Source organism: Homo sapiens, chromosome 11 (assembly GCF_000001405.40).
Source record: "Homo sapiens chromosome 11, GRCh38.p14 Primary Assembly".
Classification (NCBI taxonomy): Eukaryota; Metazoa; Chordata; class Mammalia; order Primates; family Hominidae; genus Homo; species Homo sapiens.
The window spans coordinates 94229836-94245557 of record NC_000011.10 but is presented as its reverse complement, the minus strand read 5'-3'; the positions used below and the strand labels follow the sequence as shown (position 1 = coordinate 94245557).

Genomic DNA, 15722 nt, shown 5'->3' with positions numbered 1-15722 from the left:
TGGATGGTCATGGTGGCTCTGAGCTGCCTGGATGCTATACTTGGTCATACCTAGCCTGGCTCCTGGGGCTGAGTCTGTTTACCCTAAAGCAACAAGTCCCCCCAGGCAGGGAGGAGTTGGCAGACAGTCTTAGAGGCTGAGGAGGGAGGGTTATGGGAAAAACAATCTTGGCTTATAAGACCCTCACTAACTCAGGGAGCTCAGAGTGTGACTAAGACCTTGACTACCTCAGCAAGCTCAGAGCTGTGACTAAGCCTGTACAGCTGTCTGTCTTGGTGAGCCAGACTGAGAGAGTTACTGAGTCTGCACCTTTTACATCCTTCCATTAATTTTAAAAGCAGGTTTATTGAGGTATAATTTACATACTGCAAAATTCAACCTTTTTAGTGTATAGTTCTGTGATTTTTGGACAAATACATACATTTCTGTAGCCATCACTGTAATCAAGATACAGAACAGTTCCATTGCCCTAAAAATTATTTTGTGGCCATTGTAGTCCACCCCTCTTCCCACCTCTCACCTGCACTGATCTGTTTTCTGTTACTATAGTTTTGCCTTTTCCAGAATGTCATGTAATGTAGCCTTTTGAGTCTGCCTTCTTTCCCTTAGTATAATGCATATTAGATTCATCCATGTTGGTGCATGTCTTTAATTCTTACAATAACTCCTCAAGGTGAGAGTTCTCTTAATTTCATAGATGAGATCCCCAAGAGCCTCAGAGAGGATTCATGATCCACTAAAGGTCACCCAGCTCATAAAAGTGAACCTGAGATTTGAACTCAGGTCCATGTGGTTCCACAGTTCACATTCTGTGCATTGTCCTTCCAGCAAAGGTGATGCTGGCCAAGGAGGCTGCATCTCTCTCTACCTTCACCAGCCGAGGGAGGTGGAGACATGAGGGAGGACTTGTGGGCAAAGACCAACCATCTGAGTGAGACCATCCATACGTCCAACAGAGCTTCCTCCCACCTCTCTCCATGCCAGGTGTCAGGATGTTTGAATTCCATTAGCAGCTCAGAGCTAGGAGTGCTCCCATAAGACAATGTGGAGAATCTCTCTTCCCATGCCTTGGAGAAGGTCTATGAGTATATCCTAGTCATTGTAATATTATAAAACTGTTATTCTGTAAGAAGGCTTTCCAGGGAAAGAATTGGGTGGGGCAACTGAGTTCCACTCATGTTGTTGCAAATGGTCAGAGAAGATCCTCTGGGCAAGGAAAAGAACAGAAGCATATGCTACTAGGCACTGTGCTTCACTTCCTTTTTAATGAGCATTGCAAATTTTAAATACAGACCAGATTTCATTGGTGCATTAGTTATGTATTGCCTTAGAATAAATTAAATTACCCTAAAATGCAGTGGCTTAAAGCAACAACTATTTATTATCTCATAGTCTCTGTGGGTTGAGAATCCAGGCATAGCCTCACTGGGTGTCTCTGGCTCAGGGTCTCATTCAAGGCTACAATCAAAATACCAGGAGGGACTGTGGTTTCCTCTCAAGGCTCAGCTGGGGGAAGAGCTGCTTTCAAACTCACTCATGTAGCTGCTGTCAGGTCTCAAGTTCTTGCTGGCTGTTGGTCAGAGTCATCAGTTCCTTGCCATGCGGGCCTCTACATACAGCAGTTCACAATAGGGAGCAAGCGAGGCAAGAAGGGCAAGAGAGCACCTGACAGCCACAGCCTTTGTAACCTCATCTCAGAAGTGACAATGCCTCACTTTTGCTGTATCTATTTGTTGAAAGGGAGTCGCTAGGTTCAGCACACAATCCAGGAGAGGGAATTCCACAAGAGTGTGAGTGCCAGGAATCAGGGATCATTGTACAGGCTGCCTGCCACAAGGTGTAATTTACGTATCATAAAATGCACAGATCTTAAGTATTCAGATCAATAAGTTTTGACAACTGTATGTGTCATGTACCCATCACTCAATAAGATCTAGAACATTTCTGACCCTCTGGAAAGCTTCCTGATGATCTTTTCCAGTCAATTCAACACATTCCTTTCTCACTCTCCACCACCCCTCCCCTCCATCACAGAGCCAACCACTTTCTTATTTCCACCAGCATAGACCTGTTGTGCCTGTTTGTGGACTTTATATAAATGGAATCCTCCAATCTGATTTTTTTTGTGTGGGTACATACATTTTGTGTGGGTATATATATTTATAGGATACATGGCATATTTTGATATAGGCATACAATGGGTAATAATTATATCAGGGTAAATGGGATATCCATCACCTCAAGCATTTATCCTTTCTTTTATGTGACAAACAATCCAATTATACTCTTTTAGTTATTTTTAAATATACAATAAATTATTGTGGACTGTAATCACCCTGTTGTGCTATCAAATAGATCTTATTCATTCTTTCTAACTAACTACATTTTTACACTCATTAACCATCCCCACTTCTCACCCCCCTGACTACCCTTCCCAGCCTCTGGTATCCATCATTCTACTCTCTATCTCCATGAGTTCAATTGTTTTAATTTTTTAGCTCTCACAAATTAGAACATGCAAAGTTTGTCTTTCTGTGTCTGGCTTGTTTCACTTAATGTCTCTCGGTTCCATTCATGTTGTTGCAAATGACAGGATCTCATTCTTTTTATGGCTGAATAGTACTCCATTGTGTATATGTACTACATTTTCTTTAACCATTTGTCTGGCGATGGACACTGATCAACTTAAAAATGGCCATTGTCCATTTTTATGTTCAGCTTTTTGGTTGTTTTCAAAGACATGAGGAAAAAGATCCTGGGTAACTCTGTCCTACTTAAAATTCAGTAGCACGAGAGAAAAAGCAGGCAGGAATGGAGACTGTATTCACTGGTAAAACCAACTTTAACAATCATCAAACATGCTGCAGGGAACCCCACAGGACAGAGGGAACATGGCCAATGCTGAAGGAAAAACTTCCAGGGCCTGGAATTAGAAGCCCTGGAATCAAAGCTGGCCATTTTGAGGCACTTAGAGACTAAAAGATGAATCTTTAGGGCCAGCTTGAAATCTACCTTCTTTATTTAATGGGGATACCCTGGGCAAAGTGGGGTGGGGTGGGGCCAGGCCTTGGTCTGGAGAGATTAGGAAGGAGGCTCCTACTGGGCCTGAAAATCCCACCAGCAGTAGCAGTCTTATTACCAGCTTGGATTTCCATGGTCCACAGCTTGCACAGCCATTCTGATCATTGAGGATAAGTCCCCAAGGATGACTTGAGAAGGGAAAGTAGGAGACTGGGCCTCCCATTTGTTTTCAGGAAAGTCAAAGAAATGAAGACCTGGAGAGAACAGGCTGCCCTGAAGGGATCCCAAAGTGAAGGTGGCAGTTCAACAGAAGGAATGTCAAATGTGCCTTTTCAAGATTCTAAGGCAGGTGTGGTATGGTGAGGAGAAGGATCTCTGGTTCTACTTCTCATTCTGCTGAGTGTAAACGCCACAGAAACTTGAAAAATTCTGACAATGTACAAGAGGACATTCTGCCTCTGTGCTATCATCCTCGGGCAGCACAGAAGGAATGAACTTCCATCTTTCTAGGCTGATTCATCTAAATCTTTGTTTTCTCAGTCTGCCAGAACTTTTCTCAGGCCTGCCTTTAGGGTTGTTTTGTTTTGTTTTTCTTTTTCTCTCCCAAAATCTGCTTGGAATTTCAATTATATTTTCAATCTCTTTCATTGGTCCTCCAAAAAAGAATTTGTCTCATAAACTCACCACTTAAAATATAGAGATGCTACTATTTTCTCAAGCAATAGATTAGGCTTCTAAAGCAATTTTTTTTCCCGAAGCAGTTTCTTTTTTATTTTTTACACAAGCAGATTTTGGGAGAGAAAAAGAAAAACAAAATGTTTTATCATGCCTCCTCCCTTAAAGGGAAGCAGGATTTCATCTGGCAGACAGGATGTGGGGGCTCCAGGTCTTTGGCTCTACTGCTTTACAGCCCTCCTGTCCTAAGAGAAACTTTAGTCCTTCAAAGGCTCCCTGGAGTCTCACCTTTTCCAGAGAGCCTGCCCTTCTTAACTCCAGGGTTCTTTGACAGTTTCCTTCTCGGAAACACACCTATAAGAGTTACCAACAACTAGTGAGTGGAGAAGCACATTTGAGATGATGCAGGAATGATAGGTAACTGTCTGGTGGTGCCTTTAAGGCAGTGGTGCTCAGTCTTGAATTCATTTTGGAATCTTCTGGGCAGCTCTGAAAAATCCCAATGCCAAGACCCAACCCCATTAAATCAGGCACACTAAATCAGAATCTTGGGGGATGAGGCTCAGGCATTCATATTTTTTTTAAAAAGCAGGAAAGATCTAAAATTGACACCCTAACATCACAATTAAAAGAACTAGAGAAGCAAGAGCAAACACATTCAAAAGCTAGCAGAAGGCAAGAAATAACTAAGATCAGAGAAGAACTGAAGGAAATAGAGACACAAAAAACCCTTCAAAAAATCAATGAATCCAGGAGCTGGTTTTTTGAAAAGATCAACAAAACTGATTGATAGACCGCTAGCAAGACTAACAAAGAAGAAAAGAGAGAAGAATCAAATAGATGCAAAAAAAAATGATAAAGGGGATATCACAACTGAACCCACAGAAATACAAACTACCATCAGAGAATACTATAAACACCTCTATGCAAATAAACTAGAAAATCTAGAAGAAATGGATAAGTTCCTGGACACATACACCCTCCCAAGACTAAACCAGGAAGCTGAATCTCTGAATAGACCAATGATAGGCTCTGAAATTGAGGCAATAATTAATAGCTTACCAACCAAAAACGGTCCAGGACCAGATGGATTCACAGCCGAATTCTACCAGAGGTACAAGGAGGAGCTGTTACCATTCCTTCTGAAACTATTCCAATCAATAGAAAAGAGGAAGTCCTCCCTAACTCATTTTGTGAGGCCAGCATCATCCTGATACCAAAGCCGGGCAGAGACACAACAAAAAAAGAGAATTTTAGACCAATATCCCTGATGAACATCGATGCAAAAATCCTCAATAAAATACTGGCAAACTGAATCCAGCAGCACATCAAAAAGCTTATCCACCATGATCAAGTGGGCTTCATCCCTGGGATGCAAGGCTGGTTCAACATACACAAATCAATAAACATAATCCAGCATATAAACAGAACCAACGACAAAAACCACATGATTATTACAATAGATGCAGAAAAGGCCTTTGACAAAATTCAAGAACACTTCATGCTAAAAACTCTCAATATATTAGGTATTCATGGGACGTATTTCAAAATAATAAGAGCTATCTATGACAAACCCACAGCCAATATCATACTGAATGGGCAAAAACCGGAAGCACTCCCTTTGAAAACTGGCACAAGACAGGGATGCCCTCTCTCACCACTCCTATTCAACATAGTGTTGGAAGTTCTGGCCAGGGCAATCAGGCAGGAGAAGGAAATAAAGGGTATTCAATTAGGAAAAGAGGAAGTCAAATTATCCCTGTTTGCAGATGACATGATTGTATATCTAGAAAACCCCACTGTCTCAGCCCAAAATCTCCTTAAGCTGATAAGCAACTTCAGCAAAGTCTCACGATACAAAATCAATGTGCAAAAATCACAAGCATTCTTATAGACCAACAACAGACAGAGAGCCAAATCATGAGTGAACTCCCATTCACAATTGCTTCAAAGAGAATAAAATACCTAGGAATCCAACTTACAAGGGATGTGAAGGACCTCTTCAAGGAGAACTACAAACCACTGCTCAAGGAAATAAAAGAGGATACAAACAAATGGAAGAACATTCCATGCTCATGGGTAGGAAGAATCAATATCGTGAAAATGGCCATACTGCCCAAGGTAATTTACAGATTCAATGCCATCCCCATCAAGCTACCAATGACTTTCTTCACAGAATTGGAAAAAACTACTTTAAAGTTCATATGGAACCAAAAAAGAGCCTGCATCGCCAAGGCAATCCCAAGCCAAAAGAACAAAGCTGGAGGCATCACACTACCTGACTTCAAACTATACTACAAGGCTACAGTAACCAAAACAGCATGGTACTGGTACCAAAACAGAGATATAGATCAATGGAACAGAACAGAGCCCTCAGAAATAACGCCGCATATCTACAACTATCTGATCTTTGACAAACCTGAGAAAAACAAGCAATGGGGAAAGGATTCCCTATTTAATAAATGGTGCTGGGAAAACTGGCTAGCCATATGTAGAAAGCTGAAACTGGATCCCTTCCTTACACCTTACACAAAAATCAATTCAAGTTGGATTAAAGACTTAAACGTTAGACCTAAAACCATAAAAACCCTAGAAGAAAACCTAGGCATTACCATTCAGGACATAGGCATGGGCAAGGACTTCATGTCCAAAACACCAAAAGCAATGGCAATAAAAGACAAAATTGACAAATGGGATCTAATTAAACTAAAGAGCTTCTGCACAGCAAAAGAAACTACCATCAGAGTGAACAGCCAACCTATAGAATGGGAGAAAATTTTTGCAATCTACTCATCTGACAAAGGGCTAATATCCAGAATCTACAATGAACTCAAACAAATTTACAAGAAAAAGACAAACAACCCCATCAACAAGTGGGCAAAGGATATGAACAGACACTTCTCAAAAGAAGACATTTATGCAGCCAACAGACACATGAAAAAATGCTCATCATCACTGGCCATCAGAGAAATGCAAATCAAAATCACAATGAGATACCATCTTACACCAGTGAGAATGCCAATCATTAAAAATCAGGAAACAACAGGTGCTAGAGAGGATGTGGAGAAACAGGAACACTTTTACACTGGTGGTGGGACTGTAAACTAGTTCAACCATTGTGGAAGTCAGTGTGGCGATTCCTCAGGGATCTAGAACTAGAAATACCATTTGACCCAGCAATCCCATTATTGGGTATATACCCAAAGGATTATAAATCATGCTGCTATAAAGACCCATGCGCACGTATGTTTATTGTGGCACTATTCACAATAGCAAAGACTTGGAACCAACCCAAATGTCCAACAACGATAGACTGGATTAAGAAAATGTGGCGAAGGAGGAGCCAAGATGGCCGAATAGGAACAGCTCCGGTCTATAGCTCCCAGCGTGAGCGACGCAGAAGATGGGTGATTTCTGCATTTCCATCTGAGGTACCGGGTTCATCTCACTAGGGAGTGCCAGACAGTGGGCGCAGGTCAGTGGGTTTGCACGAGCCGAAGCAGGGCAAGGCATTGCCTCACTTGGGAAGTGCAAGGGGTCAGGGAGTTCCCTTTCCGAGTCAAAGAAAGGGGTGACGGACTCACCTGGAAAATCGGGTCACTCCCACCCGAATATTGCGCTTTTCAGACTGGCTTAAAAAACGGTGCACCACGAGATTATATCCCGCACCTGGCTCAGAGGGTCCTATGCCCACGGAGTCTCGCTGATTGCTAGCACAGCAGTCTGAGATCAAACTGCAAGGCGGCAGCGAGGCTGGGGGAGGGGCGCCCGCCATTGCCCAGGCTTGCTTAGGTAAACAAAGCAGCCCCGATGCTCGAACTGGGTGGAGCCCACCACAGCTCAAGGAGGCCTGCCTGCCTCTGTAGGCTCCACCTCTGGGGACAGGGCACAGACAAACAAAAAGACAGCAGTAACCTCTGCATACTTAAATGTCCCTGTCTGACAGCTTTGAAGAGAGCAGTGGTTCTCCCAGCACGCAGCTGGAGATCTGAAAACGGGCAGACTGCCTCCTCAAGTGGGTCCCTGACCCCCGAGCAGCCTAACTGGCAGGCACCCGCCAGCAGGGGCACACTGACACCTCACATGGCAGGGTATTCCAACAGACCTGCAGCTGAGGATCCTCTCTGTTAGAAGGAAAACTAACAAACAGAAAGGACATCCACACCAAAAACCCATCTGTACATCACCATCATCAAAGACCAAAGGTAGATAAAACCACAAAGATGGGGAAAAAGCAGAACAGAAAAACGGGAAACTCTAAAACACAGAGCGCTTCTCCTCCTCCAAAGGAACGCCGTTCCTCACCAGCAACGGAACAGAGCTGGATGGAGAATGACTTTGACGAGCTGAGAGAAGAAGGCTTCAGACGATCAAATTACTCTGAGCTACGGGAGGACATTCAAACCAAAGGCAAAGAAGTTGAAAACTTTGAAAAAAATTTAGAAGAATGTATAACTAGAATAACCAATACAGAGAAGTGCTTAAAGGAGCTGATGGAGCTGAAAACCAAGGCTCGAGAACTACGTGAAGAATGCAGAAGCCTCAGGAGCCGATGCGATCAACTGGAAGAAAGGGTATCAGCAATGGAAGATGAAATGAATGAAATGAAGCGAGAAGGGAAGTTTAGAGAAAAAAGAATAAAAAGAAACGAGCAAAGCCTCCAAGAAATATGGGACTATGTGAAAAGACCAAATCTACGTCTGATTGGTGTACCTGAAAGTGATGGGGAGAATGGAACCAAGTTGGAAAACACTCTGCAGGATATTATCCAGGAGAACTTCCCCAATCTAGCAAGGCAGGCCAATGTTCAGATTCAGGAAATACAGAGAACGCCACAAAGATACTCCTCGAGAAGAGCAACTCCAAGACACATAATTGTCAGATTCACCAAAGTTGAAATGAAGGAAAAAATGTTAAGGGCAGCCAGAGAGAAAGGTCGGGTTACCCTCAAAGGGAAGCCCATCAGACTAACAGCAGATCTCTCAGCAGAAACCCTACAAGCCAGAAGAGAGTGGGGGCCAATATTCAACATTCTTAAAGAAAAGAATTTTCAACCCAGAATTTCATATCCAGCCAAACTAAGCTTCATAAGTGAAGGAGAAATAAAATCCTTTACAGACAAGCAAATGCTGAGAGATTTTGTCACCACCAGGCCTGCCCTAAAAGAGCTCCTGAAGGAAGCGCTGAACATGGAAAGGAACAATCAGTACCAGCCGCTGCAAAATCATGCCAAAATGTAAAGACCATCGAGACTAGGAAGAAACTACATCAACTAATGAGCAAAATAACTGACTAACATCATAATGACAGGATCAAATTCACACATAACCATATTAACTTTAAATGTAAATGGACTAAATGCTCCAATTAAAAGACACAGACTGGCAAATTGGATAAAGAGTCAAGACCCATCAGTGTGCTGTATTCAGGAGACCCATCTCACGTGCAGACACACACACAGGCTCAAAATAAAGGGATGGAGGAAGATCTACCAAGCAAATGGAAAACAAAAAAAGGCAGGAGTTACAATCCTAGTCTCTGATAAAACAGACTTTAAACCAACAAAGATCAAAAGAGACAAAGAAGGCCATTACATAATGGTAAATGGATCAATTCAACAAGAAGAGCTAACTATCCTAAATATATATGCACCCAATACAGGAGCACCCAGATTCATAAAGCAAGTCCTGAGTGACCTATAAAGAGACTTAGACTCCCACACAATAATAATGGGAGACTTTAACACCCCACTGTCAACATTAGACAGATCAATGAGACAGAAAGTCAACAAGGATACCCAGGAATTGAACTCAGCTTTGCACCAAGCGGACCTAATAGACATCTACAGAACTCTCCACCCCAAATCAACAGAATATACATTTTTTTCAGCACCACACCACACCTATTCCAAAATTGACCACATACTTGGAAGCTCTCCTCAGCAAATGTAAAAGAACAGAGATTATAACAAACTATCTCTCAGACCACAGTGCAATCAAACTAGAACTCAGAATTAAGAATCTCACTCAAAACCGCTCAACTACATGGAAACTGAACAACCTGCTCCTGAACGACTACTGGATACATAACGAAATGAAGGCAGAAATAAAGATGTTCTTTGAAACCAACGAGAACAAAGACACAACATACCAGAATCTCTGGGACACATTCAAAGCAGTGTGTAGAGGGAAATTTATAGCACTAAATGCCCACAAGAGAAAGCAGGAAAGATCCAAAATTGACACCCTAACATCACAATTAAAAGAACTAGAAAAGCAAGAGCAAACACATTCAAAAGCTAGCAGAAGGCAAGAAATAACTAAAATCACAGCAGAACTGAAGGAAATAGAGACACAAAAGACCCTTCAAAAAATTAATGAATCCAGGAGCTGGTTTTTCGAAAGGATCAACAAAATTGATAGACCACTAGCAAGACTAATAAAGAAAAAAAGAGAGAAGAATCAAATAGACACAATAAAAAATGATAAAGGGGCTATCACCACCGATCCCACAGAAATACAAACTACCATCAGAGAATACTACAAACACCTCTACGCAAATAAACTAGAAAATCTAGAAGAAATGGCTACATTCCTCGACACATACACTCTCCCAAGACTAAGCCAGGAAGAAGTTGAATCTCTGAATAGACCAATAACAGGAGCTGAAATTGTGGCAATAATCAATAGTTTACCAACCAAAAAGAGTCCAGGACCAGATGGATTCACAGCCGAATTCTACCAGAGGTACAAGGAGGAACTGGTACCATTCCTTCTGAAACTATTCCAATCAATAGAAAAAGAGGGAATCCTCCCTAACTCATTTTATGAGACCAGCATCATTCTGATACCAAAGCCGGGCAGGGACACAACAAAAAAAGAGAATTTTAGACCAATATCCTTGATGAACATTGATGCAAAAATCCTCAATAAAATACTGGCAAACCGAATCCAGCAGCACATCAAAAAGCTTATCCACCATGATCAAGTGGGCTTCATCCCTGGGATGCAAGGCTGGTTCAATATACGCAAATCAATAAATGTAATCCAGCATATAAACAGAGCCAAAGACAAAAACCACAGGATTATCTCAATAGATGCAGAAAAGGCCTTTGACAAAATTCAAGAACCCTTCATGCTAAAAACTCTCAATAAATTAGGTATTAATGGGACGTATTTCAAAATAATAAGAGCTATCTATGACAAACCCACAGCCAATATCATACTAAATGGGCAAAAACCGGAAGCACTCCCTTTGAAAACTGGCACAAGACAGGGATGCCCTCTCTCACCACTCCTATTCAACATAGTGTTGGTAGTTCTGGCCAGGGCAATCAGGCAGGAGAAGGAAATAAAGGGTATTCAATTAGGAAAAGAGGAAGTCAAATTGTCCCTGTTTGCAGATGACATGATTGTATATCTAGAAAACCCCATTGTCTCAGCCCAAAATCTCCTTAAGCTGATAAGCAACTTCAGCAAACTCTCAGGATACAAAATCAATGTACAAAAATCACAAGCATTCTTATAGACCAACAACAGACAGAGAGCCAAATCATGAGTGAACTCCCATTCACAATTGCTTCAAAGAGAATAAAATACCTAGGAATCCAACTTACAAGGGATGTGAAGGACCTCTTCAAGGAGAACTACAAACCACTGCTCAAGGAAATAAAAGAGGATACAAACAAATGGAAGAACATTCCATGCTCATGGGTAGGAAGAATCAATATCGTGAAAATGGCCATACTGCCCAAGGTAATTTACAGATTCAATGCCATCCCCATCAAGCTACCAGTGACTTTCTTCACAGAATTGGAAAAAACTACTTTAAAGTTCATATGGAACCAAAAAAGAGCCTGCATCGCCAAGGCAATCCCAAGCCAAAAGAACAAAGCTGGAGGCATCACACTACCTGACTTCAAACTATACTACAAGGCTACAGTAACCAAAACAGCATGGTACTGGTACCAAAACAGAGATATAGATCAATGGAACAGAACAGAGCCCTCAGAAATAACGCCGCATATCTACAACTATCTGATCTTTGACAAACCTGAGAAAAACAAGCAATGGGGAAAGGATTCCCTATTTAATAAATGGTGCTGGGAAAACTGGCTAGCCATATGTAGAAAGCTGAAACTGGATCCCTTCCTTACACCTTACACAAAAATCAATTCAAGTTGGATTAAAGACTTAAACGTTAGACCTAAAACCATAAAAACCCTAGAAGAAAACCTAGGCATTACCATTCAGGACATAGGCATGGGCAAGGACTTCATGTCCAAAACACCAAAAGCAATGGCAATAAAAGACAAAATTGACAAATGGGATCTAATTAAACTAAAGAGCTTCTGCACAGCAAAAGAAACTACCATCAGAGTGAATAGGCAACCTACGGAATCAGAGAAAATTTTCACCACCTACTCATCTGACAAAGGGCTAATATCCAGAATCTACAATGAACTCAAACAAATTTACAAGAAAAAAACAAACAACCCCATCAAAAAGTGGGCGAAGGACATGAACAGACACTTCTCAAAAGAAGACATTTATGCAGCCAAAAAACACATGAAAAAATGCTCATCATCACTGGCCATCAGAGAAATGCAAATCAAAACCACAATGAGATACCATCTCACACCAGTTAGAATGGCAATCATTAAAAAGTCAGGAAACAACAGGTGCTGGAGAGGATGTGGAGAAATAGGAACACTTTTACACTGTTGGTGGGACTGTAAACTAGTTCAACCATTGTGGAAGTCAGTGTGGCGATTCCTCAGGGATCTAGAACTAGAAATACCATTTGACCCAGCCATCCCATTACTGGGTATATACCCAAAGGACTATAAATCATGTTGCTATAAAGACACATGCACACGTATGTTTATTGCGGCATTATTCACAATAGCAAAGACTTGGAACCAACCCAAATGTCCAACAACGATAGACTGGATTAAGAAAATGTGGCACATATACACCATGGAATACTATGCAGCCATACAAAATGATGAGTTCATGTCCTTTGTAGGGACATGGATGAAACTGGAAATCATCATTCTCAGTAAACTATCGCAAGAACAAAAATCCAAACACCGCATATTCTCACTCATAGGTGGGAATTGAACAATGAGATCACATGGACACAGGAAGGGGAATATCACACTCTGGGGACTGTTGTGGGGTGGGGGCAGGGGGGAGGGATAGCATTGGGAGATATACGTAATGCCAGATGACGAGTTAGTGGGTGCAGTGCACCAGCATGGCACATGTATACATATGTAACTAACCTGCACAACGTGCACATGTACCCTAAAACTTAAAGTATAATAAAAAAAAAAAAGAAAATATGGCACATATACACCATGGAGTACTATGCAGCCATAAAAAATGATGAGTTCATATCCTTTGTAGGGACATGGATGAAGCTGGAAACCATCATTCTGAGCAAACTATTGCAAGGACAAAAAAGCAAACACTGCATGTTCTCACTCATAGGTGGGAATTGAACAATGAGAACACGTGGACACAGAAAGGGGAACATCACACACTGGGGCCTGTTGTTGTGTGGGGGGTTGGGGGAGGGATAGCATTAGGAGATATACCTAAAGTTAAATGATGAGTTAATGGGTGCAGTACGCCAACATGGCACATGTATACATATGTAACAAACCTGCACGTTGTGCCCATGTACCGTAAAACTTAAAGTATAATTTAAAAAAAAATTTCCTTAGCATCTTTTATGTCTTGCCAAGGTTAAGAATTACTGCTCTAAGACAGTCCTGGTCCAGCTGCCAAACAGAATAAAAACAGGCCATCCTGAGCTTACTCCAAATATCCTGTCTCCCGTCTCCCAGACTGGTTTCAACTATGCCTCCCCATATACACCTCAAGGCTGGCTGTACTCCCACTTAGCTCCTGGTGTCTGTCCATCCCGACCCCTGGTACCTGGCAATCCAGGCCTCTCAGGCTGGGTGTGACTCTCACTCCCACTCTCTGCAGCCGGGACACTCCATCTCCATCTAACTTTGTATGCTATTGGGTGTGATTCCCCGATTGCTTCAGGAAAGTCTCACTTCCTTAAGGAGATTTTAAACTCATCCAAGTCAGAGTCTTAATCTATTTCCGGGAGGGACTAGCATACTATTGAGCATATAGCAGTCAGAGCCTCAATGTCTTTATCTGTAAAATGGAGATATCTGTAAAATTGCCTGTAAAATAGAAATATATATAAAATTTATAGGCACAGAAATTCATATCTTATTCCAAAAGAGATACTTGACATGATGTATAAAAAGTGCCCAGGAAGATCTAAAACACAGCAAGGACCCCATAAGTGGTAGCTATTATTGGATCCATTGAAACCCAGGCATTATGACTTCTGGACCAGTGTTTCTTCTAGATCTCAAGTCAACATGACCTACCAGAAAATAACAGTATCTGAGTCATTCAGAGTACTAATGATGTGGCATCAGGAGCCCATCAGCCATGTCAGCCTGCCTGTGTACCTTATGCTAGGCCAATGCTTAACTCATTCTATGAAAGATGCAACTGGCTGGCATTGGCCTTCCTTTTTCTCTTCATTCGGCCTGGATTTTCTGAGAAGACTGTGAGGACCTGCTGTTCTGGACAGTGTGTAGGATGGGCATCTTGTTTTGCCACTCAGCAGGAGGAAGGACACATGCTTTCTGTTTTGTCGTCAAAGGAAATAACAACTCTCAGATGTTGCAGTGTTGCCAATAGAGAGAGAATGCAGAACTGCCCCAATCCTGCCTCAGTTTGTCTCTTCTCTTAAGAATCAATAGTTGTCAGACTGGAAAAAGCAGGGTCATACTAGCTAGACCCTATAGAGATCCAAGAGCAAAAAAGACCATAAGAGAGTTCAGAATTCATCTAAGTGACCTTGAGGCTCCCCTGATAGAATAATTCTCACTGTGCTGGGAGAAGTTGCAGATGTAATTGCGGATCTTTTGTTAGTACTTTGGGGGAAGTAGTGGAAGAGAAGATCAAGACAAGGGAGACCACTGTTACCCTGTTTTAGTTAAAGTGACTCTAGCTGCTGTATGCTAAACCTTGCAGTCTCTGTGACTTAGCACAATATGGGTACGTCTCCCTAGGACACAGTCCGGTGTGGTGGCATGGCCCAGCAGCCTTCAACATCAACATTCAGGTGCCCAGTCTCTTTCCAACTGTGGCTCGGCCTTCCTTATGGTGGTCCCATTCAACTGGTAAATGAGGAGAGAGACAAAGAAAAAGGTACACCCACCTGCTTCTGTCCAGAAATGATACCTACTACTTCTGGCCATGTTTCATTGGCCAGAGCTCAGTCATATGGCCACAGCTGATTGCAAGAGACATGGAAAATGTGGTCTAGTTGTGTGCCCAGGAGGAAAGGGAAATGGGCTGGATACGACAAAGCAGCAAGCCAAAACATAAAGCTAACTGAAATACAAATGCATTAGTATAAATTAAGTATTCAGAATTTTAATGTTGATGTCCCAATTTATTTCAAGCTGGTAAAGACAACCCTTGAGTATTTTGTTCCACTCAAGATGCTACACGAACAGAGACATTGAAATACTGGAGTGTATCAAAAAATGAGTGCAATAATCTGAACACTTGAGTCCCCCCAAAATTCAAATATTGAAATCTAAATCCCAATGGCATGATATTGGAGGTGAAGCCCTTGGGAGGTAATTAGATCATGAGAGTAGAGCTTTTATCAATGGGATTAGTGTCCTTATTAAAGAGACCCCAGAAAACTAGCTAACCCCTTCCACCATGTGAAGACACAGAAATAAGGCACCATCTATGAACCAGTTAACAGTTCCTCACCAGTCCCTAAATCTGCCAGTGCCTTGATGTTGGACTTCCCAATCTCCAGAACTGTAAGAAATAAATTTCTGTGGTTTATAAATTAGCCAGTATATTAGTCTGTTCTCACACTGCCAATAAAGACATATCCAAGACTAGGTAATTTATAAAGGAAAGAGGTTTGACTGACAGTTCAGCATAACTGGGGAGGTCTCA

General features: G+C 41.8%; 1 long non-coding RNA gene across 2 annotated transcripts in view, besides 4 other annotated features; it reads right to left on the bottom strand.

The window, feature by feature from the left end:
• The window catches only part of LOC105369435 (uncharacterized), an 84813-nt gene that overhangs the window by 36664 nt on the left and 32427 nt on the right, over window positions 1-15722 (bottom strand). The gene's annotated exons all lie outside the window — the stretch shown is intronic.
• Window positions 6664-7863: an enhancer, noted in NCBI's record as "MED14-independent group 3 enhancer chr11:93970861-93972060 (GRCh37/hg19 assembly coordinates)". NCBI's record gives its function as "activates an origin of replication core promoter dependent on BRD2, BRD4, P300/CBP and CDK7 cofactors, and independent of MED14, by STARR-seq in HCT116 cells {active_cell/tissue: HCT116}" and the evidence as "EXISTENCE:reporter gene assay evidence [ECO:0000049][PMID:35650434]".
• Window positions 6664-7964: a biological region, named in NCBI's record as "MED14-independent group 3 enhancer GRCh37_chr11:93970861-93972060".
• Window positions 6874-7418: an enhancer, noted in NCBI's record as "NANOG-H3K27ac-H3K4me1 hESC enhancer chr11:93971306-93971850 (GRCh37/hg19 assembly coordinates)". NCBI's record gives its function as "activates a minimal SCP1, AML or CMV promoter by ChIP-STARR-seq in naive H9 embryonic stem cells {active_cell/tissue: H9 hESC(naive)}" and the evidence as "EXISTENCE:reporter gene assay evidence [ECO:0000049][PMID:30033119]".
• Window positions 7419-7964: an enhancer, noted in NCBI's record as "NANOG-H3K27ac-H3K4me1 hESC enhancer chr11:93970760-93971305 (GRCh37/hg19 assembly coordinates)". NCBI's record gives its function as "activates a minimal SCP1, AML or CMV promoter by ChIP-STARR-seq in naive H9 embryonic stem cells {active_cell/tissue: H9 hESC(naive)}" and the evidence as "EXISTENCE:reporter gene assay evidence [ECO:0000049][PMID:30033119]".